The sequence below is a fragment of the Homo sapiens genome, chromosome X (assembly GCF_000001405.40).
Source record: "Homo sapiens chromosome X, GRCh38.p14 Primary Assembly".
In the NCBI taxonomy this organism is placed as follows: Eukaryota; Metazoa; Chordata; class Mammalia; order Primates; family Hominidae; genus Homo; species Homo sapiens.
In genome coordinates, this window is record NC_000023.11 from 135395350 (window position 1) to 135420029 (window position 24680).

General features: G+C 40.8%; 1 long non-coding RNA gene across 1 annotated transcript, besides 2 other annotated features; it reads left to right on the plus strand.

Annotated features, from left to right (window-relative positions):
• The first annotated feature begins 1079 nt into the window (after positions 1-1079).
• On the plus strand, positions 1080-2400 carry LOC100506790 (uncharacterized). The gene is given in 2 exon segments (NR_104652.1): positions 1080-1112; positions 2044-2400. It is a non-coding gene; the product is annotated as an uncharacterized LOC100506790 (long non-coding RNA).
• Positions 9887-10764: an enhancer, noted in NCBI's record as "OCT4-NANOG-H3K27ac-H3K4me1 hESC enhancer chrX:134539161-134540038 (GRCh37/hg19 assembly coordinates)". NCBI's record gives its function as "activates a minimal SCP1, AML or CMV promoter by ChIP-STARR-seq in primed H9 embryonic stem cells {active_cell/tissue: H9 hESC(primed)}" and the evidence as "EXISTENCE:reporter gene assay evidence [ECO:0000049][PMID:30033119]".
• Positions 13399-13901: an enhancer, noted in NCBI's record as "NANOG hESC enhancer chrX:134542673-134543175 (GRCh37/hg19 assembly coordinates)". NCBI's record gives its function as "activates a minimal SCP1, AML or CMV promoter by ChIP-STARR-seq in primed H9 embryonic stem cells {active_cell/tissue: H9 hESC(primed)}" and the evidence as "EXISTENCE:reporter gene assay evidence [ECO:0000049][PMID:30033119]".

Genomic DNA, 24680 nt, shown 5'->3' on the forward strand with positions numbered 1-24680 from the left:
TGGATGCTTCCTGCCCTCGAACATCAGACTCCAGGTTCTTCAATTTTGGGACTCAGACTGACTCTCCTTGCTCCTCAGCTTGCAGACAGCCTATTGTGGGACCTTGTGATCGTGTAAGTTAATACTTAATAAACTCATATATATATATATATATATATATATATATATATATATATATATATCTCCTATTAGTTCTGTCCCTCTAAGGGAACCCTGACTAATACACTTGGACAGCCTGGAAAATCATGTCCTGCATCTAGACAATACTCACATGGGTCACACTTTAATGACAACAATATAGTTATTCTAGATCAGAGACTTGGAAGGGACTACGGCTTGAGACATATGAGTGTGTCTCAAGGAACTGGACCAGTTTTAGCATAAGATTTTCCAAAGCATTAAAAGCCCACCTGCATCCTAGGTTCACATAATAAAAGTATGGAGCTCCACTGCACTGAGCTTTGGGAGGGGGGTAGGTGTGTGAGACACAGCAGTGTCAAATTGCAGTGTTTAATTTCTGCGACTAAACAAACACTCCATTTACATGAATTATATATTATAGAAGGAGTAATTGCAGAGTCATGACCAAGGCAGGATGCAGAGATTGACAAGTAAGTGGGAAATTCGACCTGAGACTAATTCCCTGATTGGAACATGGCAGACAAAGTTGCTGATCACTACCCAGGGAACCTGGCAAGATGCAGTGGGTGCTGTTTATCTACACAAAGAAGAAATTTTAATGAAGGAATTTTGTACAAGCCAGGAAGAAGCTCTGAGGCCAGGATAGCTGAGTGTTTCATCCAGGAAAGAGACGCAGATGGCGCCCAGCCACAGGATATACCTGCTTCCTCACCCAGCAAATTCCCTCACCCTATTGAGTCCTGAACCCGAAGGAAGCCAGGGATGGTGGCCAGTGTTTGAATCTTGCATACTGTTGGCACTAGGTTCTGAGGGCAATTGTGAGTCACCGTAGTAACCATGACTTCACTTTGTACTGAACCAATAAGGCCCTGGGACTCAGGGAAAGAGAGAGAGTGCCAAAGTATGTTTCCTCTTACTGTTTACCCTCTGGTCCAGATCTTTCTTAAAAAGCAATCTGAGTGGCCTGACAGGTAAAATATCCTGATATACTAAGATCATAGAGCATCCTTTTGTGCCATTACCTAACTAACCTATCTGATAAACCCCAACCCTGTTTGGTAATCAGGGGAGGGTATGGGAGAGTCATTTGTTCAAAGTGATACAGAGACACTATAGAAGAGTGGGTAGGAGCACAAGGCTTCAGATATAGGCTTTCTCAGTTCCAGTCTCACCTCTCTGTAGCCTTGGGCAAGTCCTTTAATCTCTCTTGGGAGCCCAAAATTGAGAACACAGTTGGCATCCACCCCTGGCCTTGGCATTGTGCCAGATTCAAATAAAATACCACACAGCATTTTTGAGGGTGAGACAGGGTCAGGTATCAGAGGTGAGTACAATCTTTAAATCACTGAGATTACGTTCCCCAGATGGAAACTCAGCAGGATGGGCCTTAGAAACAGAAACTAGGTATCGCTTGAGAATGTACAGTTTATTTCTTACACTGCGGGTTGGAGTAAGAGCCATACCTGCTTCACCAATGATATTCAAAGGAGACAGAGGTGAGAAGAAGGCAGCTCTGCAAAAGAGCAACATAAAATTGAGTTAAAGTTAGTGTGGATATAAGAATTACATTAACACTTGAGTTTAAGCTAGTGCTTTGAGTGCAATCTAACAAGTCTGTGTGTGTCAGATGAAGATCGGGTTGATGCAACAGTGTATCCTTAATGTTCCGGGTCCCGTCAGGCTCCTATACAGCCCCATGTGTGAGACAGATTGAATAAATGATATGGTTGGCATTTCAAATCAGATGATGGCCCAAAGCAATCGCCTGTGACTACTGCTGGTAGCCGAGTGTGTGTGTGTTTGTGTGTGTGCGTGTGCTTGATATGTGGCTGTGTGGGTGTGTGGCAGTGAAGAAGAGGTCCCAGGTCCACTTGATTACCTGGAATTCATCATCTTTTTCAGGCTTTCTTAGTTGAGCTATCTTCCTGAGGTTGTTTGGAGCCGCTGCGTCATGGATAAATAACTCCCTAAAGCCAGTCCCAACAAGCTTGCACTGAACATCAAGAAGCCTGACAAGTCCTTCAAATGCAAGAAGCCCACCCAAAATGTGCTGGTCTTTTTAATCAACAGACAACTGGGCAGGCACAGAAGCGACATCAACCTGTCAAGGTGGATATGGATGCTGTCATAAAGCAACTCCAGGGTGAACATGGCCTTGGACAAAGAGTCATGTGGCTTATGTGCTGAGGCCTGCCCAGAATTCTGAGATATTAATTATAATTAGAACAATAAACTCCTCCCATGTTTGAGCTATTAAAACAGTCTGTCATTTCACTCCTTTGGATTGGATATGTGTTTGCTGACAGGGCTTACTTGGGTTACACTGGAAGGGGCTTTTGTTCATCCTAACGCACAGTGCAGGGGTGCTCAGACACGGAGCAGAGAGTGAGATCATGCTGCACACCAGATGTCCCCCACCATCAATCTGAAAAACACTGTGAAGTAGTGATGTAGTACTTGGCATTCAAAGAGCAAAGACTCTTCTCCCTAGCCATTTTGGAGAGACAGCCCTGGTGTTCCCCTCTAAAACCTAATGCTTGTCCTAGTGAAAAGACATTGTTTAAGAGCAGACCAACAGCTGGGTTGGGAGTGTGGGGTATGCTTTAACATTGCAGATATCATGTCCACAGAGCCTACTAGAGGCAATTGCCCTGCTCATTGTCCCCAGGAAAGTAGAATGTCCTGGTGGCTTTTTTTTTTTTTTTTTTTTGGCATGTCAAACAAACCTTCAGGCCACAGCTAATCAAAGAGAGTTAATTTTCCTGAAGGGAAGCCGTCGGATAGTCCAACAAGACATGTGAGATGGCTCCCATTCAAAAAGCTCTGTCCCCAAGGAATGTGCTGAGCAAGTCAGATACTCACTCCAAAAAACCTGAAATGGGAATTATATGGGCAATTGGTCACTAAGAAGTGAGAGCTAAAGGTGAAGTGGGGACAGGGAGAGCAAAAAGGTCAGAGCCATGGTGGATATTGGCAAGCCCAAGTTAGGAGTAAGATGAAACTTACATAAGGTGAACCACAAAAGTGTTAACTTATGTAAAATCATAATGTTTAAATTTATAAAAGGAGACAAGGAAACTGTATTTCTTTCTTTTTTTTTTTTTTTTTTGAGATGGAGTCTGGCTTTGTTGCTCAGGCTAGAGTGCAGTGGCACGATCTTGGCTCACTGCAACCTCCTCCTCCCAGGTTCAAGGAATTCTCCTGCCTCAGCCTCCCGAGTAGCTGGGACTACAGGCGCCTGCCACCATGCCCGGCTAATTTTTTACTTTTAGTAGAGACGGGGTTTCACCATCTTGACCAGGCTGGTCTCAAACTCCTGACCTTGTGATCCACCCGCCTCGGCCTCCCAAATTGCTGGGATTACAGGCGTGAGCCACCGCGCCCGGCTATAGGTCTGTTTTCTAAATGCTTTAGTGTCTAAGAAACTCTATTTCTTAGAAAGGGTTGCAGCCTACACAGCAGCCATGCCACAGGCTGGGAAGTGTGCCTCTGGCCAAGACCACAGACCGGCACTTGGAAGGAGGAAGGCTTGGGGCAGGAGCTTTATGCTGAATGGGTTGGCTGAACATACAGATTCTACAAGTTACAGGAGGAGCTATGAATATTCATAAGGAGGATCTCACACATTCGTTTTCAAGAAACATCCCTGTAACATACCACTCATGTTCACCTTGGGGTGCAGGCATAACATTTAACTGTATCACATTTAGGCCCTATATGACAACAGATCTTTCAGGGCACATAGGAACACAAGTGCACAATCTCTATAATCCAGCCAGAGCCAGTCCATGGTCGGTGGTTTCTTATTAGGAGATAGTTACTGCAATCAATCAATCGATTGCCCAGTGAAAGCTGTAGTTATGGCTATGGTATAGGAGAGTGAGGGTCAGTTAGTCAGCATCTGGCAACAAGTGAGTTGCAATTGTTTCAATATTGCTTATCTCTAGGTCAGTGCTTGTTTAACTGCTAGAGAAAAAGAAAAGCTTGTGGCAGTGGGAATATACTTTATTATTTCAGTGTAAGGGTGCATGGCTTAACCCTTGCCTGACATCCTTGAATACTGTTTATAATTTTGTATCATATTGCCTCAAAAAGTCTGTTCTGTCCTTATTATGATGTCTATTTGAACATTAATGCTGATGAGTTGTGTCTAAACCATAAAAGAGAGGGAGTATAATGAGGCTTGTCTGACCTGCAATCTGCTCATGACCAGGAACTCAGTTCTAAGGTTCTTCTAGGGTCCCCTTGGCCAAAGGAGGGTCAATTTTGTTGGTGAGGGCTTAGGATTTTATTTTTACTTTACAAAAGCCATCACAAATTCTAAGCATCTCTCTTGTCCTTTAACGTCCTTTAAAGATGCAAAATAAGCCTGTGAGCAGCCCTTCTGTCCCCACTTCCTCTCCTCTCCAATTCCCTGTGTTCTCACAACCTGTCCAGCATTCCCCAAGGCCCCTCCTGTGTCCCCTCCCCTACATCTAAGGCTTAGGCTTAGTATTTTCTTGCCCCTTAGTCAGGTCTCCTCCAGATTTTTTTTTTTTTGAGACTCAGTCTCACGCTGTCGCCCAGACTGGAGTGCAATGGCACAATCGCGGCTCACTGCAATCTCCGCCTCCCGGGTTCAAGTGATTCTCCTACCTCAGCCTCCCAAGTAGCTGGGATTACAGGCACCTGCCACCATGCCCAGCTAATTTATTTCATATTTTTATTAGAGACGGAGTTTCACTATGTTGGCCAGGCTGGTCTTGAACTCCTGACCTCGTAATCCACTCACCTCGGCCTCCCAAAGTGCTGTGATTACAGGCGCGAGCCACCTCACCTGGCTTAGATTTTTTATGGGGTAGAAAATTTAACCCCTCTATGTCCTTTTCACCCTCCCCTCTGTCCCTGTTGCCTTCTCTGTCCCTGCTCTGATTCAGCATTGCCAAAAAGGAGCCACCAGCCTCTCCTCAGAGGATGCAGCTGGCTGTAGAATGGAGGGGAGGGGTTAGAGGTTGCCAGGTACAGGGGCCTCCTGGGTGCTCTTTTGCGGGGAACGCTGCCTGGACACTCCTGCGTCGGTGACTATTTACCTGCAGTCCAGCATCGAACAGTGGCTGTGAGGTGGAGAAAAGGTGGGGAATGGAGGCTGAGAAAGCAGCAGGTAGGGCAAGAAGGAGCCAAACCCACAGGAGCAGAGGCTAATAACAGTCAACCTCCTACACTCCATGGCCACACAACAGAAGAGACAGAATTTAGGATACAGAGTTACATGCAGATAAATCTCACTATTATACTGAGTGAGAAAACAAGTAGCACAGAATTATGTACCAAATAGTTACTCAATTGTGCCAAGCAGTACTTGGATATATACATAGACAGTAAAGTTATCCAAACTAGAGCAGCAGCACATTCAAGTGAAACTCTGTCCAGTTTCCGACTTGACTAGTGCCCCAAAACAGTTGATACCAACTAACTCCCATCTTGCAAGGAGTTGCCTAACAATGGAGGCCTGGTAAAGAAGGCAATCATAATCATGTGACCTCTGACCACTCACCCACCTGCGGGTGTCTACTCACACTGGAAGTCTGGGTGGGTTGGAGACCAGGAAGCCCACTTCACAGGGGTTGCATAGTGTGCTGAGTTCTCAAGAGGAAAATCCCTTACACTTCAAATTTACTGGAAGGCTGTGGCTACTCAGCATATCCTTATTGGGCTTGACTTGTGTCCCCAGAAGTCAGACTCACAAATAAATTTTACAAGGGGAGTGGCTGCAGGAGAGGGATGAGATTTGGCCAGATTCTCCTAAAGAGATTTTTCTCAGGAAATCTTAGTGGAGGCCATAAGTAGCCTCCTCTGGGGAAATCTGGACGCAGCTGATTGCCAGGGATTAGAGGCTGAGTGGAGAGTGCGCACACGGTGTCAGGAGACACTCTTCTTCTAATCTTTCATTTCTGGTTGCTGCCTCTCATTGCTCAAATCATCTACTAACCAGAGAGCAAGGAAGCCAAAGTGATGTGGTCCATGGTATCAGCCTTCTGGAACACAGAGCCTTGTAGAGAAGCATATATCTGGTTGAACAAACTGAGAATAATCTAACCAATTCACCATTTTTTTTCCACAGCCAGCACCCACTGTTGCTTTGATCAGAGGAAAAAATACCCTTGCATAACACACGATATGAGGTCGATTTGATTACAATACCACACAGATCCTAAATTGTAACTTTAGTGGTTACAAGAAAGTTTCCTACACATTCTCATGGAATGGGTGAAGGAAAAGTCATCTTATCTCCCTATGAAACTAATTTCTTATACTCTGTCAGCACCTGGAAATGTTGGTGGATGTGTACCTGGTGGAATAACCTAGGAATTTGTTGTTGAAAGATATGAATTTTTGGAAGTGATACCATTATGGAATTGCATCAATTTTCCGTGGAACATTAGAGCTCGACACGGAAGTGCTAGGTGGTGCCCCAGTGAATCCCCTCAGGTACAGAACTCGTCATCTTTCTCACATTAGGAAGCAGCAATCCAAACTCCCCTTGGTCATCTGGATCACTCACCCATTCAGGACAGTGACCCCTTCTCAACCCCAACTTTTGTTATCCAAAGACTTGAAAATGGACAGGGAACAAGGAGTCAATGTCAGTTTCCAAGATAATGGAACTGTGGATATTTTCCAAGGAAGAGGCATCTTAGCTCAAATATTTTAGCCTCTAAACTATCCAAGTCCTATTTTTGGAGAAAAGGAAGGGGGAAAATCTGTGAATCATTTTTGGGGGGCATAAGAGTGGGGAGAGTCATTCTGTGTCCCATCCTGGCAATGGAGAATGGCACTATAGGTTGCTTACAGGTCCAGAACTAGAGCCATATCCTGTAGGACAGCCCTCCAACCTTGCAAGTTTCTGCTTCCTACATAATGCTACAATTGACTTTTCAACAGGCCATTCCAGCACTGTATAAGGCCAGATGCTTCTGGGTGATGGTAAGACTGGTAGATTACACGGGCCTGAGCTCATGTACCATCTTCAGTTGCCATAAAAAGAGTTATTGGACAAAAGTGATATTTTGGAAAAACCACGGTGTGGGGAAGTAGATCAGCAATACAGAAATGTATAGGTAACAGTAGAGGAACTGCCTGTTTACTCACCTCCCAGCAAAGAAAATGCAACTTTAAACTAAAGGACTTCATTTGTCCCTCACGTAAGCTCCATTCTGAATTTTGGATTTGTCGTTCTCATGTCTGTATGGCTGTTGTGTAAAATAAGTAGAGGCCAAATTCAAATTATTTTGTCCCATAACCCCTCCCAATGTCCAAGCCACGTCCATTCTGCTGGGTTCTTTCATCTCTGCTCCCTATTATCAATCCTAGAGTTAGCCCTACACATTTTTTGATCACTGCTAGATAAGAACATGTATTTTGTGACCTTAGTATTCCACTTGGTCAGTGTTCAGTAATTTGTACACCCTGTCCAAGATAAACATCACAACTCTAATCTTCCCATATCAAAGCTTCTTGCTTCCCCCAGCTCAGGCTAGGTCTAGGCTGCAGCCTGCAGTGGGAAAGGGTGGTGACCCTTCCACTTGTACTCAGACATCATCTGCACCCCTCCCCTTTTGCAAATACTGGTCCACCAGGGTCTGTTGAACAGGGGGAAAGGCAAGAGTTTCAGGTCAGTAAACATCTCCCTTATCTGGATGGAGTTTAGCAGCTGTTTAAATCTGATTTTCTTTTTTTTAAGTGAGTGCATTAATGGCTGTTCAGGGACTAAATCACTAGGTCTCAAGTCCCTACAGTTCCCTGACATAAGGCCTCCACACAGATCTCTTGAGAAAACTTCCTTCAGAATACTCCAGACCAAACCAAATACTATTTCTCTCTCTCTCTTCCCTTCTCTTCCTCTCTCCCCTTTCTCTCCTCTCTTCTCTTTCTGCTATCCTAATTCCTTTTTAAGTTTCTTTCTGATACTATCTTTTGAGAAGCTGATTCAAACCCTTCTTGTGGCCCCTGTGAAGTGCCATCACTCCAGGAAGTTTGAGGTGAAGAGCATTTTCTTCCTGTAAGCTGAGGACACTATTCAACCTCTGTTAAGTGGGCCTCTCTGCTCTCCAAGTCACCCAGATTCTCTAATGTGAGTACATACTCACACATGGGTGAGTGGTCAGAGCTTACATGATTGTTTGTGATTGCCTTCTTTACCAGTCCTCCACTGATAGGCAACTCCTTGCAAGATGTGAAGCACTTGGTACCAATTTTGGAAGCATTAGCTAAGTCTGAGACTAAATAGAGTTCCACTTCAACATCCTGCTGCCTTTTGGATACCTTTGCTATCTATGTGTGTGTGTATCCAATATATGTACACACACGCACACACACACACACACACACACACAGCTTGACATGTTTTTCTTACTATTTGGTACATACTTTTATGCTACCTTTTTTCCCACTCAACCATTATAATTGTGAAATTTACCTACGTTGGTGTGTATAGTTCTATATCCTACATTTCAGCTCTTCTCTTGTATGTCAATGTACTGTAGCAGGATGGATATACCCATCTATGCTTCACTGTATGTGTTGTCTGTACCTGTTACATCATTGGAAAAAAGAAGCTCAGTGATTGGTGGGCAAGTTTTGGATTTTGTAGGCACCATATACTACACTGGAGTGTGCTCTGTTATCCCATAATCCCAGTAGTCTAAGTAAGACTACTACTTTTCAATGGGGACATTTTCTGTGCATGGCAATCAATCTAATTGTCCATCTGTCCCACCTCTTGCCCAATGGTCTTATGGACACAGAAACATGGACTTTCCCTAATGAAGGCTGATCTGGCTACCATTACTAGTGAGGTCCTAACCTGACAAATAGCAAAGAACAACACTATGCTCCAGATATGGCAATGTTCCCTGGGCAAAGCTGCCAGCAACTTGGTGGCAGGACAGTTACATTGGACCTCTTCCATTGTGGATGTGTGTCACAGTCCATTGAGGCTGCTATAACAAAATACAATAAACAAGGTAGCTTATATAGAACAAAAAATATTTCTCATAGTTCTGGAGGCTGGGAAGAACAAGAATAAGATGCTGGCAGATTCAGTGTCTGGTGAGAGCCTGCTTCCTGGTTCAAACATGGTACCTTCTCACTGAGTCCTCACATGGTGAAGGGAGCAAGGGGACTTTCTTGTGTCTCTTTTATATGGACACTATTCCCATTCATTAGGGCTCTACCCTCATGACTTAATCACCTCCCAAAAAACTTCACCTCTTAATATTATTACCTTGGGTATTAAGATCTGAACATATGAATTTGGTGGGGGGAATGGGACACAAACATCCATATTACGGCAAGGAGGCAGATATTTGTCCTCATCATAATAGACACATATTCAGGGTATGGATTATCTTCTCTATCCATAATGCTTATAGCAGCATCACCATATGTGGACTCACAGAATGCCACATACTTCATTATGGTATTCCACATAGCATTGTTTTTGATTGTACAATTAATTTCACATCAAAGGAAGTTCAGTACTGGTCTTATCATATAACCCATCACCCAAAAGTGCTTGATACAATTGAAAGGTGGATAGACTTAATGAAAAATCAGGAATCCCCTGGGTGACGACACCCTGAAAGGATGAAGTTCTATCTAAAAGGATGCAATATATGCTTTAAAACAGAGACCATTATATGGTGTTGTTTCCCCCATAGATAGAATACATGTGTCCAGGAATTAAGGGGTGGAAGAGGGAGCTCCTTCTCTCACTAGGACCTCTTAGCAGCCAACTCATAGATTTTTTGTTTCTTCTTCTTGCCACTTTTAGCTCTGCTGATTTGGAAGTGTCAGTTCCCAAGGAGGAATGCTTCCATCAGGGATCATATGAGTGGTTCCACTGAATAGGAAGATAAGACTGCCACCTGGCCATTTTGAATACCTCATGCCATAGAAACAACAGTCAAGTAGGGGATTATGTCACTGGCTGAGGTGATTTACCCTGATTACTAAGGGGAAATCAGATGCAGCTACATTATAAAAGAGAGAATGGGGGAGGGCCATATTTGGAATCAACTCAGGATTTTCTTGGGTTCCCCTTGGTGCTTTTATGTTCATACTAAAAGGTAATGAAAAGCTACAGTAATTAAAATAAATAGGCAGTACCATGGATGACTCAGACCTCTCAGAAATGAAGATCTGTGTCACATCTTCAGGCAAAGACCCCCAACAGCTGAGGCATGGGCAGAAAAAAGTGATGGCTAACTAAATAAGAAAATTGTAATTACTTTTAAATGTGTCTGAATCTAATAATATTACATCCTTAAAACACACAGATGTGGCCGGGCATGGTGGCTCACGCTTGTAATCCCAGCACTTTGGGAGGCCAAAGTGGGTGGATCACGAGGTCAGGAGTTCAGGACCAGCCTGGCCAAGATGGTGAAACCCAGTCTCTACTAAAAATACAAAAATTAGCTGGGGGTAGTGGCAGGTGCCTGTAATCCCAGCTACTCAGGAGGCTGAGGCAGGAGAATCGCTTGAACCCGGGGGATGGAGGTTGCAGTGATCCGAGATCGTGCCACTGCACACTCCACTCTGGGCAGCAGAGTGAAACTCCGTCTCAAAAACGTGGGGAAAAGAAAGAGAGATCAGATTGTTACTGTGTCTGTGTAGAAAGAAGTAGACATAGGAGACTCCATTTTGTTCTGTACTACGAAAAATTCTTCTGCCTTGAGATGCTGTTAATCTGTAACCTTACTCCCAACCCCGTGCTCTCTGAAACATGTGCTGTGTCAACTCAGGGTTAAATGGATTAAGGGCTGTGCAAGATGTGCTTTGTTAAACAAATGCTTGAAGGCAGCATGCTCCTTAAGAGTCATCACCACTCCCTAATCTCAAGTACCCAGGGACACAAAACACTGCGGAAGGCCGCAGGGACCTCTGCCTAGGAAAGCCAGGTATTGTCCAAGGTTTCTCCCCATGTGATAGTCTGAAATACGGCCTCGTGGGAAGGGAAAGACCTGACCGTCCCCCAGCCCGACACCCGTGAAGGGTCTGTGCTGAGGAGGATTAGTAAAAGAGGAAGGAACGCCTCTTTGCAGTTGAGACAAGAGGAAGGCATCTGTCTCCTGCCCGTCCCTGCGCAATGGAATATCTCGGTGTAAAACCCGATTGTATATTCCATCTACTGAGATAGGGGAAAACTGCCTTGGGGCTGGAGGTGGGACATGCGGGCAGCAATACTGCTCTTTAAGGCATTGAGATGTTTATGTGTATACATATCTAAAGCACAGCACTTAATTCTTTACCTTGTTTATGATGCAGAGACCTTTGTTCACGTGTTTACCTGCTGACCTTCTCTCCACTATTATCCTATGACCCTGCCACATCCCCCTCTCCGAGAAACACCCAATAATGATGAATAAATACTAAGGGAACTCAGAGGCCGGCGGGATCCTCCGTGTGCTGAACGCCGGTCCCCTGGGCCCCCTTTTTTCTTTCTCTATACTTTGTCTCTGTGTCTCTTTGTTTTCCAAGTCTCTCGTTCCTCCTAACGAGAAACGCCCACAGGTGTGGAGGGGCAACCCACCCCTTCAAAAAAAAAAAAAAAAACCAAACAAACAACAACAACAAAAAACAGATGTTGAGAGCACAACAAGTAGAAATATACAAATCCACAAATACAAAAGATTATAAGATAAATATCTTAGGAAATGGAGAGAACAACCAGAAATAAAATATCAGGAACCGTATAAAAAATGTAATGCACCTCAATCTCTGAGCACTTTCAACTTTAAGTTTATTCATTTTAGTATCCTGATTCTAACACTCTTTCATTCCCACTGCAAATTCCCATTCATTGATTCTATCACATTTACTCAAACCTGTGACGTCCTCTCTCCTCTCCTTACAGGGCTGAAATTCCATGTTAATCATTGTAATCACCGGGTTGCTGACCATCTCAATTACTGACCCTTGTCTTTCTTGGTCATAGACCATTGACAAAAACACAACTCTGGTCAAACATAAGGCACTGCTTTTCTCTGTACCTGCATTAGGTAGATGAATTTGGAGGGGAACTAACACCAGAATATGCAGACTTGCCACTAATTCACATAGATGAATGCTTTTACTCCTGTCTAAGGTCAAATCTCTAACTTGCACACCAGATCTGAAATCTTACCTTCTCAAGAGCATCACTCCACCAATTCTTCTTTCTCTGACTCTTTAGTCATCTGTTCTTTCTCCTCTTTGCACCAAACTTTTCTTGTCTGCATGTTGTGTCCCCAATTAACTGTTTCTCTTTTTTAAATTTATTTTTGTTTTTCATTTTTTAATTTTTCATTTTTCTATGGAGCCACAAGCATGTAAAATTTAAATATTACACACATTTTGATTTTGTATCCCCAGTTAACTCTTTCTCTGTTTTATTCATTTCTTTTTGTTGTTGTTTTTCATTTATTTTGTTTTCCTTTTTTATTGTTTTTCATTTCTTTTCTATGAAGCCCTCACACATGTAAAATTTAAAATATTAACATCAATAAAAATTGTAAACTTTTTCTCCTGTTTGCCTGTCTTTTGTCAGTTTAATTCACAGGCCCCAAAACAGAACCTGAGAAGATAAAAGCAAAGTTTGTCCTCCCCAACAATATCAATAGAAGTTGAAGCACATTTGACAAATTATAACATTCATTCATGATAAAAAAATTTCAGCAAACCATAAATAAAAAGGAACTTTACCAACTTGATAAAAAGCATCTATAGAAAACCTGCATATAACATCAGGCTTAGGGAAATGCCAGTTAAAACCCAGGAAATACCACTTTACCACCTAAAATGGTTAAAGTAAAGGGACATTAACACATTTTAGTGAGGATGTGGAGAAATTAGAATCCTCATACACTGCTGGTGGAGCAGCCATTTTGGAAAACAGTCTGATAGTTCCCCAAACAGTTAAGCAGAGTTACCATATGACCCCAAAATTCCACTCATATGTATACACCCATGACAAGTAAAACATGTGTACACACAAAAACTTGTATAATAATCATAGTGTCATTAATCACAATAATATAAAAGTGGAAACAACCCATAAGTACATCAACTTATGGATGGATTAATGAAATGTGATATATCCATACAATGGAATATTATTCAGCAATAAAAAGAAATGAAATAATGATACATGCTGCAACATGGATGAAATTTGAAAGCAGTATGCTAAGTAAAAGAAGCCAGACACAAAGGACAACATATGGTATGATTCTACTTGCACAAAAAATCCACAATAGGCAAATCTATAAAGAAAAAAGATTTATGGTTACCTAGGGCTGAGTTTACCAAAGAGAACCAGGGAAAGAAACAGTAAAGAAGATTTCTCCTGGGATCAGAACAAACCTCAAAGACTTTCGCTAAAAACCACATTTCCAAAGGGACTGAAATTTAAATGGATCAGGCTACAGAACAATGTATACTCTAAGGCATTGTGAAAACAAAGAGCTCTATCAGCAGGCAATTAGTGAGCCTAAAAAGGTGTGATCATAGAAAAAGATAGTCAAAGATAGCCCTACTAAAACCACTGTCATCTCAGGATGACTGTGCACATGCTGAAGTTCATGTGCACATGCTCAAGTTCAAGAACAACATCAGGGGCTTTCTGCTAGGGGGTGGGGGACAACTTCAATAAAATAGTCTAGCCAAGTCACTAAACAAACAAGCAAGCAACACCAACAGTAAGTCCACAGGAGATCAATATTCAGTGTTACTACAATATATTATCTAAAATGTCTAGTTTTCTACATAGCATAACATAACAAGGAGGGTGATGTCAGTGAAAATGGCAGAGTAACAACCACCAAAATTTCTCTCCTCCAAAATATCAACAAGGATAATGGCAATAATAGTTAGAATCAACATTTTCAGAACTATAGACATAACCCAAAGGCTTATAGCTAGCCAGAAAATATTTATTCAAGAAAACATGGCTGAATCAATAAAAATAGCAAGCTTTATGGCATTTTAACTTGCCCTAGTTCCATTCTCCACTCTCTAGCTCTGGCGCAACTTAAGAAACTAATGGGTCGTGTTGAAAGTGAAGCCTGACAGCTGACAGAGTTGCAGAACAGAGCTGGAGCTCTTACAAAGCTTAATTCCCAAAGAATTGTCATTATTTGACCCATCTGTTGGCTCTCTGGAAGATCTCACTCGCAAGACTCCTTGTTTTTGAACTGACTTGAGGTTCACTTAGTACAAAAAGCTTTTTCTCTAGTGACATTTGTAAGGGATGTTTTATAATGATAAAAGTGTCAATCCATCAGGAAGATAAATTATAAAAGCAATTTTATTTCTATTCACTAACAATGTATCATTGGAACATGAAATTAAGAAAACAATTCCATTTATAATAGCATCACAAAGAAGAATATACTTAGGAATAAGTTTAACAGAAATGCAAGAACAAAGTTGAAATAATTACACTACCTGATTTCAAGCTGCAGCAATCAAGATAGTGTAGTATTGCTTTAAGACTAGACAAAATTGTTCAATAAGGAAAAGAAAGTCTTTTCAACAAACGCTGCTGAGATAACTAGATTTTTAAAAATATACATTTAAACAATGAAATGAACACTGTCTCCTATCTCATGCCATAAACAAGCATTATTTTGAAATAGGTAACAGACCAGAATACTAAGCAAAAACTATAAGACTTCTAGAATAATACATGGGATAAGGTTTTGGTAACTTTGGGACAGGCACAGTTTTATTACATAGGACCAAAAGACATGAACCATAAAGAAAATACTGATAAACGTCATCAAAGTTAAAATCTTCTCCTCTTTGAAATACAACATTGCAAAAATTAAAAGGCAAGTCACAGACCGAAAAAACTATTTGCAAAACGTATATCCAACAAAGGCTTTGTATCTTAAACATATAAAGACCTCTTATAATTCAATACACAAACAACCTAATTGTTAAAGGGAATAAAAGATTTAAATGGACATTTTACAAGAAAATACATGTTGAATGGCAAAATATGTAAAGATACTCAGCATCATTAGTCATAACATAAATGCAAAGAAAATAACAAGTTACCACTATGCGTCCATTATGATGGCTAAAATTAAAAAGACTCACTGCCAAGTGTTGCTATTAAATGTCTTATAGTTGGAAACAAGTAATTAATTACGGCCCACTTTCAATGCTGGAGATGGCTCAAAGGAATAATACCAGGAGGTAGGGATCACTGTGGGCAATCTTAAAGGTTCCCTACCACAACAAATACATGGGTAAACAAATTGTGGTGTATTTCTACAATAGAATACTCCTTAACAATAAAAAGGAACTAAATATTCATACATGCAACAACATGATTGTATTTCAAAAATGTTATTCTTAGTCGAAGAGGCCAAACATAAATGAGTTCATTCTGTATGATTCCATTGGAAACCAAAGGGTTAAGCTGGTTAGGTCTGCCAAACTTAGCCTGCCCTACTTGCCTGTGGTTGCTTGCTTTTTGATATTTTTTCATAAAGCTGAAGGTCATGGTAGCTGAAGGCTGCACTGCTGAAGGCTAAAACTTAACTTTCACTGGCTACCTTGTAGATAACATTTAAAGGTCACCATGGTAACGGTTGCTTCAGTTGTTTTTCAGGAACTTGAAGCAGCTCTTGTCCAGTTCAAACCATTTGAAACCACTGACCCTTTAATTGGGCCTATGCAAATGCCTGAGAGGTGGCCTTTTTGACTTCTTTGTCAGAAGGCCAAAAACTCCAGCCACAGATCATGCTAACACTAACATTTTCTGAACATATGTCCTATGAAATTCCATAATCCCCAAATACACTTGCATAGATCATTGATTACTTCATTTTTTCCCCACTGCCAATCACCTTTCCCCATTCCTTAGGCCACCTCACTTCTCTAACCCATAAATATCCCTAAGCCTTATCTTTGGGGAAGTGAATTTGAGACCTATTCTCCCACCTACTCACTTGGCTGCCTCATGAATAAATTCTTCCTGTTTTGCAAAACCTGTCACCACAGTGATTGACTTACTGCACACAGGCAGCATGAACCTGGATGTGAATGATAACAAATGTATGTGAACCCCTAGGAAAACAAATCCAATCATTAGTGACAGAAAATAGATAGGGGTGTCCTTGGCCTAGGTGTAGAGGAAAGGTGTCGATTAGGAGGAGCACAAGATAACTTTCTGCTGTGATGAAAATGTTCTATATCTTGATTGTGGTGGTGGATACACAAAGATACAAATTTGACAGAACTGATCAAAACATCTACTTGATAAGGTTGCATTTAATTGTATTGTTATACCAGAAGCATATAATACCACAAGTATAGGGAAACTCTGAAGGTGTGTTAAAGCAAAATAAGTAAGCAGGATGCCATTAGCCTGAAGTTGTCTCTGTAACCAGAGCTCTTACGTAAGCAAACTGGGACTTAACTTAGAAACATTTCTTCTAACTGACTTAAAAGAAAAACAAGCCTCAGCCAATCACAAACAGCCAACCAGCTGACTGGCTATGTAATTAGAGACTTCGCATCAGCCCATACTCAAATAAGACAAATGCCTAGCTGTATAGCCAATCAGGTGATTTCTCTACTTTGAGTCAGTGATCACGCTATTAAAAACCTGCTGCTCACATTGCTGGGCAGAGCTCTCTGAACCTTTTCTGGTTCTAAGTGCTGCTCAATTCATGAATCATTCTTTGCTCAAATAAACTCTGTTAAATGTCATATGTCTGAAGTTTTTCATAACAGTTGGAAGTAAGGACTGCCTATGGACCTTGGGACTTGAGGAAAGACATGGTAGCAGTGAGTTACCTGAGTGTTCTTTTTCTTTTCTTTCTTTTTTTTTTTTTTGAGACAAGGTCTCACTCTGTCACACAGGCTGGAGTGCAGTGGCACGATCTTGGCTCACTGCAGCCTTGCCTCCTGGGCTCAAGTGATCCTCCCACCTCAGCCTCCCAAGTAGCTGGGACTACAGGCACGTGCCACTGATATGGTTTGGCTGTGTCCCCACCCAAATCTCATCTTGAAATGTAGCTCCAATACTTTCCATATGTTGTGGGAGGAACCCAGTTGGAGATAATTGAATCATGGAGGCAGTTTCCTCCATCCAGTTCTCCTGGTAGTGAATAAGTCTCATGAAATCTGGTGGTTTTATATGGGGTTTCCCCTTTTGCTTGGCTCTCATTCTCTCTTGCCTGCCACCATGTAAGACATGCCTTTTGCCTTCTGCCATGGCTGTGAGGCCTCCTTAGCCATGTGGAACTGTGAGTCCATTAAACCTCTTTCCTTCATAAATTACCCAGTCTCGGGTATGTCTTTATCAGCAGCGTGAAAATGAACTAATACAGCCACCATGCCCAGATAATTTTTGTATTTTTCATAGTGATGGGATTTTGCCATGTTGCCCAGGCCGGTCTTCAACTCCTAGGCTCAAGAAATTTGCCCAACTCCTGGGCTCAAGTGATCCACACGCCTCAGCCTCCCAAAGTGCTGGTATTACAGGCATGAGCCACTGTTCCTGGCTCCCTGAATTTTCTTTTTCCCTCTCATATATCCTTGATTGGGCACCAGAGAAGCCAGCAACCAAGAACTGCCAACAAAGAAAATCTCCAAGAAAAGCTTGTTTCCTCTAGCCAAAGGTTTTGGGAGAAATGGTGGCTTAACAGAGCAGAACACCTTTTTGACAAACCCCCTCACCTCAGTCAAAGTGACCCACTCATCTGTGCAGTTTCAGTAGGGCTGAGTGGGGAGTTAATATTCAGCCTCCTACCTCCCATGTGGAAGTAAGTGGTGGTGCTCTGATGTCTCTGATGACTGCACCAGGAATCCGATCTTCCACTCCAACCCCCTACCCAATAGAAACAAGCAGCACTCTGCTGGAGTTGTGTCAATAAGGTCTAGAGGGAGGAGGACTTCCTCCACAAATCATCACCAAGGAGGGAGATGAGAAAGTCCAAGGGAGAGCTAGTTAGTTGGCATTCAGCTTTTCCATTCACCCAGGTGTCACTCCCATCCGGCACCAAGAAAACTGAAGGAGGTGGTTCAGTGCAGGCAAGACTAGGCAGCCCTCCACTTTCCCATCCATTGTCAACCACTAATTCTATATCTAGCAAATATATCCTTCAGGAGTAAAGAGGAAATAAAGACATTCTCAGATTAATAAAACCTAAGAGAACTGGTTATCAGCAGCCCTTAAATAATGGCTAAAGGAAATTATCTAAACAGAAAGGAAATGATAACACAGGAAGTTGGAACTTCAGGAAGGAAGAAAGAATAATGGGATGAGTAAAAGTGGGGGTAAACATAACAGGATAACTTTCTCCTGATGAGTTTTTAAGATCATGTTTGATGGTTAAAGCAAAATGTATAACATTAGCTAGGGCAGGCTCAATGTACATAGAGGAAATGCTTAAGCTATTTATATTTAGATGGGAGGAGGGTGAAGAAAGCTAAATGGAAGTAAAATTTCTCTGCTTCACTCAAAGTGGTTTAAATGTTGATGCCAGTAGATTTTGATGTGTAATGTAATACATACAGTAGCCAACAAAAGATAATAATATGAAGAACTATATTCAAAAACACTACATATAAAGCAATGGCAACAAAAGCCAAAATTGACAAATGGGATCTAATTAAACTAAAGAGCTTCTGCACAGCAAAAGAAACTATCATCAGAGTGAACAGGAAACCTACAAAATCGGAGAAAATTTTTGCAATCTATCCATCTGACAAAGGGCTAATATCCAGAATCTACAAGGGACTTAAACAAATTTACAAAATAAATAAATAAATAAATAAATAAACAACCCCATCAAAAAGTGGGCGAAGGATATGAACAGACACTTCTCAAAAGAAGACATTTATTCAGCCAACAAACATATGAAAAAAAGCTCATCATCACTGGTCATTACAGAAATGCATATCAAAACCACAATGAGATACCATCTCACACCAGTTAGAATGGCGATCATTAAAAAGTCAGGAAATGACAGATGCTGGAGAGGATATGGAGAAATAGGAACATTTTTACACTGTTGGTGGGAGTGTAAATTAGTTCAACCATTGTGGAAGACAGTGTGGCGATTCCTCAAGGATCCAGAACCAGAAACACCATTTAACCCAGCAATCCCATTACTGGGTATATACCCCCCAAATTATAAATCATTCTACTTTGAAGACACATGCACATGCATGTTTATCGCAGCACTGTTCACAATAGCAAAGACTTGGAACCAACCCAAATGTCCAGCAATGATAGACTGGATAAAGAAAATGTGGCACATTTACACCATGGAATCATATGCAGCCATAAGAAAGGATGAGTTCATGTCCTTTGCAGGGACATGGATGAAGCTGGAAACCATCATTCTCAGCCAAGTAACACAAGAACAGAAAAGCAAACACTGCATGTTCTCACTCATAGGTGGGAGTTGAACAATGAGAACACATGGACACGGGGAGGGGAACATCACACACTGGGGCCTGTCGGTGGGTAGGGAGCTATGGGAGGGATAACATTAGGAGAAATACCTAATGTAGGTGATGGGTTGATGGGTGCAGCAAACCACCATGGCACATGTATACCTATGTAACAAACGTGCACGTTCTGCACATGTATCCCAGAACTTAAAGTATAATAAGTAAATAAATAAATAGAAACGAAACAAATGACTATAATGACCAGAGAAGGAATAGAGACAATGAAAAGTTACCTTTACTGAACTTTATATATATTTATACCAGTATAAAAAATAAAAATAAACATTATAGTACAAAAAAGGAAAAAAACACTACATGTAAATCAAAATGGAATTTTTACAAAATGTTCAAATATCCTACAGGAAGGCAAGAAAAGAGAAACAGAGGGATAAGAAACAAAATGAACAAACAGAAAGCAAATATTAAAATAGCAAACTTAAGCCCTAACATATCAATATACTTACTTTAAATGTAAATGATATAAGAATAGCAATGAAAAGACAGAAATTGACAGTGGATTAAAAAAATAACCCAACTCTATGCTACAAGAACCTCACTTCAAATTTTTACGAGATTTCACAGATTTATTCATTTTCAAGCATGGTTTTATGCTTCTTATAAAAAAAATATGTTTTCCGGCCGGGCACGGTGGCTCACGCCTGTAATCCCAGCACTTTGGGAGGCCTAGGCGGGTGGATCACCTGAGGTCGGGAGTTCAAGATCAGCCTGACCAACATGGAGAAACCCCATCTCTACTAAAAATACAAAATTAGCCGGGCGTGGTGGCAGGTGCCTGTAATCCCAGCTACTCGGGAGGCTGAGGCAGGAGAATCGCTTGAACTCGGGAGGCGGAGGTTGCAGTGAGCCGAGATCGCGCCATTGCACTCCAGCCTGGGCACAAAGAGCAAAACTCCGTCTCAGAAAAAAAAAAAAAATGTTTTCTGAGGACTACACTGAATTTTATTTTGTATGAATAAGCCAATTACAAAAAGACAAATATTGTATGATTCCACTTATATGAGGTGCCTAGAGTAGTCAAATTCATTGAGACGCATAGTCGAATATTGGTTTTCAGAGCATAAGGGCAGGAGGAAACGGGGAGTTGTAATTTTTTTTTATCTTTTGCAAGATAAAAAGAGCTATGGTGATTGGTTGCAGAACAATGTGAATGTTCTTAACATTACTGAACACTTAAAAACAGTTAACGTGATCAATTTTATGCTATGTGTATCTTACCACAATCCTAAATTTTTTAAATAAAGGAAACAAAAAATGAGACAACTGAGAAACTTTTTTCAAAAAAACAAACAAAACTCCCTAAAGTTAACATCATATCTAGTGGTGAAAGACTGAATGCTTCCCCCTAAGATCCCAAACAAGTCAGTGATGTTAGTTTTTCACCACTCTTTTTCAACCTAGTACTGGAAATTGTATCCACTGCAATAACACAAGGAAAGGAAATAAGGATTAGGAAGGAAAAAATAAAACTGTCCCAATTTACAAATGACATTAGTTAGAAAATTCCAAGGAATTGACAAAAAGACTCCAAGTGATACTCCAAGTGATACCAAGACTCCAAGTTTGGGGGAGGTCCCCAAACACTGGTTAGACTTTGACCCCAGCTGGTGTCCACGCTCTTGACACCATTGCAAGAAGGAATGCAAGGATAAGTCAGAAAAGAGTGAAAGTTCAGTGATTTATTGCAAAGCAAAAGTACACACTCAAGAAAGGGGAGTGCAGGCATACTCAGAGTGAGTCATGCAATGGAATTTGGGGCTTCTACCTTTGCGGGTCTCTTTAATCAAGGGGTGGAATATTCACAGAGATTCCCACAAAAGGTTAGAGATTTCTTGAAACTGTGGCACCACCCATTTTTACACCAAATATGGGTGTTCCTGGAACTGTCCTGGTGCTAGTGGATGTGTGATTTACTATGTTAATGACGGTATAATGACGTCCTAGGTAACACCTAGGTCAAATCCAGCACTGTGTTGGGTCCAATTGGTCTTAGCCAGCTTGGTCCATACCCTGGTTTTTTAGGGTCTAATCAGCCCCTAGCTTCTGCTGCTATTTCAGCAGTTTCCTTTTGCTAGTCATCTGAAACTGTTGTCTGGAATTTTCTATTCTTCTGCGACCACACTGCATTATTCCTGTCTCACAAGAAGTAAGAAAAAAAGTTCAGCTAGGTTGCAGGATACAAGATGAACAAAAAAAAAATTATCATATTTCTACATACTAACAATGAACAAGCATGTGGAAACTGAAATTAGAAACATAAAATCATGTATAATTGCTTCAAAGAAAGTGAGTACTTAGGAGTATATTTAACAAACATATATAGGATCTGAATGCTGAATATTCTACAGTTTTGATGAAATTAAGAATATCTAAATAAATGAAGAAACATACTGTGTTCTTGGATTTGAAGAATCCACACAGAAACTATGTCAATTTTCCCCAAAATTGGTCTTTAAATTGAACACAATTTTCAGCAAGCCTTTTTGTACCCATAGATCAGCTTATTCTAAATTGTATATGGACAGGCACAAGCCCTAGAGTAGCTAAAGAAATGTTCAAAAAAATAGAGAAAAGTCATGCTACCCCATTGATGTGGTCTGGATGTGTGTCCTCGCCCAAAACTCATGTAAAATTGTAATCCCCAATCTTGGATGTGGGGCCTGGTGGGAGGTGATTGGATCATGGGGGTGGTTTCTCATGAGTGGTTTAGCACCATCCCCTTGGTGCTGTTGTCATCATAGTGAGTTCTCACGAGATCTGCTTGTTTAAAAGTGTGTGGCACCCCCCAGCCCGCTCTCTCTCTTTCTCCTGCTCCACCCATGTGATGTGCCTGCTCCCCCTTTGCCTTCTGCCATGATTGTAAGCTTCCTGAGGCCTCCCCAGAAACAGAAGCTGCTATGCTTCTTGCACAGCCTACAGAACCGTGAGCCACTTAAACCTCTTTTCTTTATAAATTAGCCAGTCTCAGGTATTTCTTTATAGCAGTATGTGAATGGACTAATATTCCCATATTAACACGTACTATATCCAAACAGTAATAAAGACAGTGTGGTACTGTAGAAAGAATAGACACATAGGCCAATACAACAGAATAGAGGACATAGAAAGAGACCCAAGTCCGATTTTTGACAAAGATGAAAAAGAAGCTCAGTGGAGGAAGGATACCCTTTCCAACAAATTGGGCTCTAACAATTAGACATCCATAAATGAAAATTGAACCTGGACCTAAACCTCAAATATTATACCAAAGTTAACTCAAAGTGGGGCACAAATTTAAATGTGAAATATAAAACTACAAAACTTCAAAAAGAAAACGCAGGAGAAAATCTTTAGGACCTAGGGCTTGGTAAAGAGTTCTTACACATGACATCAAAACCATGATCCATAAATAAAAAGGACCAATAAATGGTACTTCATCAAAATTTAAGTCTTTTGCTCAGATAATGCCCTTAATAACAGAATGAAAAGACAAACTACAGAATGGGAGGAAAATTTGCAGACCACATATCTGTTAAAGGACTCGTATCTAGAAAATATAAAGAAGTCTCGAGATTTAAGCATAGAAAACAGTCCAACTAGAAAATGGCAAAAAACATTTTACCAAAAAGGATAAACAGATGGAAAATAAGCACATAAAATGATTTTTCACCTTCATTATTGGTATTTGCCGAATCATATATCACTATACGCCTATCAAAATGTTTAAAATAAAAAATAGTGATAACACCAAATGCTGGCAAGGATGCAGAGAATCAACACACTCATAAATTACTGGTGGGAATATAAAATGCTAGAGCCACTCAGGAAACAGTTTGGTAGAGTCTTACAAAACCTAACATGCACCTTATGACCTAGCAATCACACTTAGACATTTATCCCAGAGAAATGGGCATTTATCTTCACGCAATAAGCTGTAAATTAATATTCATAGCAGCTTTATTTCTAATAGCCAAAACTGGGAATACTCTGGGTGAATGGTTAGACAAACTGTGGTACAACTACACCAAGGAGTACTACTCAGCAGCAAAAAGAAATAAAGAACTATTGACACTTCACACCCCCAACAACTTGGATGATTCTCTAGAGAATGATATTGAGTGAAAAATGTCAATTCCCAAAGGTTACAATGTTGTATCATTCCATTTGTTTAACATTCTTGAAATGATAAAATTATAGAAATAGACAACACATTAGTGGTTGCCAGTCATTAAGGAGGGAGAGCAGGATGGAAGCAGATTTGGTCAAAAAAGGGCAGCTTGAGGGAATTCTGAATAGGATAGATGGATTGTGTCAATATCAACATCCTGATTATGATATTGTACTGTAGTTTTGAAAGATATTAACCAGTGGAACTGGTTAAAGGGAACATGGGATCTCTCTGTATTTTTTCCTAAAATTGCATGTAAATCTACAATTATCTCAAGATTAATAATGTAATTAAAATATTAGTTGCAGTTCTATATATTAACAATGAACACATGGAAACCAAATGTTTGACATGTAATCAAACTCACAATACCACTAGCAGTCACTGCAAAGAGGATGAAATAAATCTAACATAATATGTGCAGAGTGGCTGAATGTGAGTGCAAAGAGGTAACCCAAAGGAGGTTTTTTTTGGGTAATGGAATACTTTTGTATCTTCATTGTAGTTGTGGTTACACAAATCTTTAGATGGTGTAAAATTGTTAGGACTATATGTGTGCACACCCACACATTAATGCAGGTTTAAAAAAATATTCCAAGTGAAATCAGGCCTGCAGTCTGGTAAACAGTAATGTATCAATTTCAATTCTTGATTTTGATGTTATATTACATCAACAAAAAATGTTACTGTTGAGGGAAGCTGGATAAAAGGCACAAGGTCTTTTTTGGTACTATTTTTGAAATTTCCTGTGAGTCTATAATTATTTACAAACAAAATGTTAAAAAATAAATGAGATGAGGCCAAGGAGAGGTTTCAGAAATGGCTGGAAGCAACAGGGTCTGCAAATGAATGGGGTTCTAGCCAGTCTGGAACAATGGGTTTC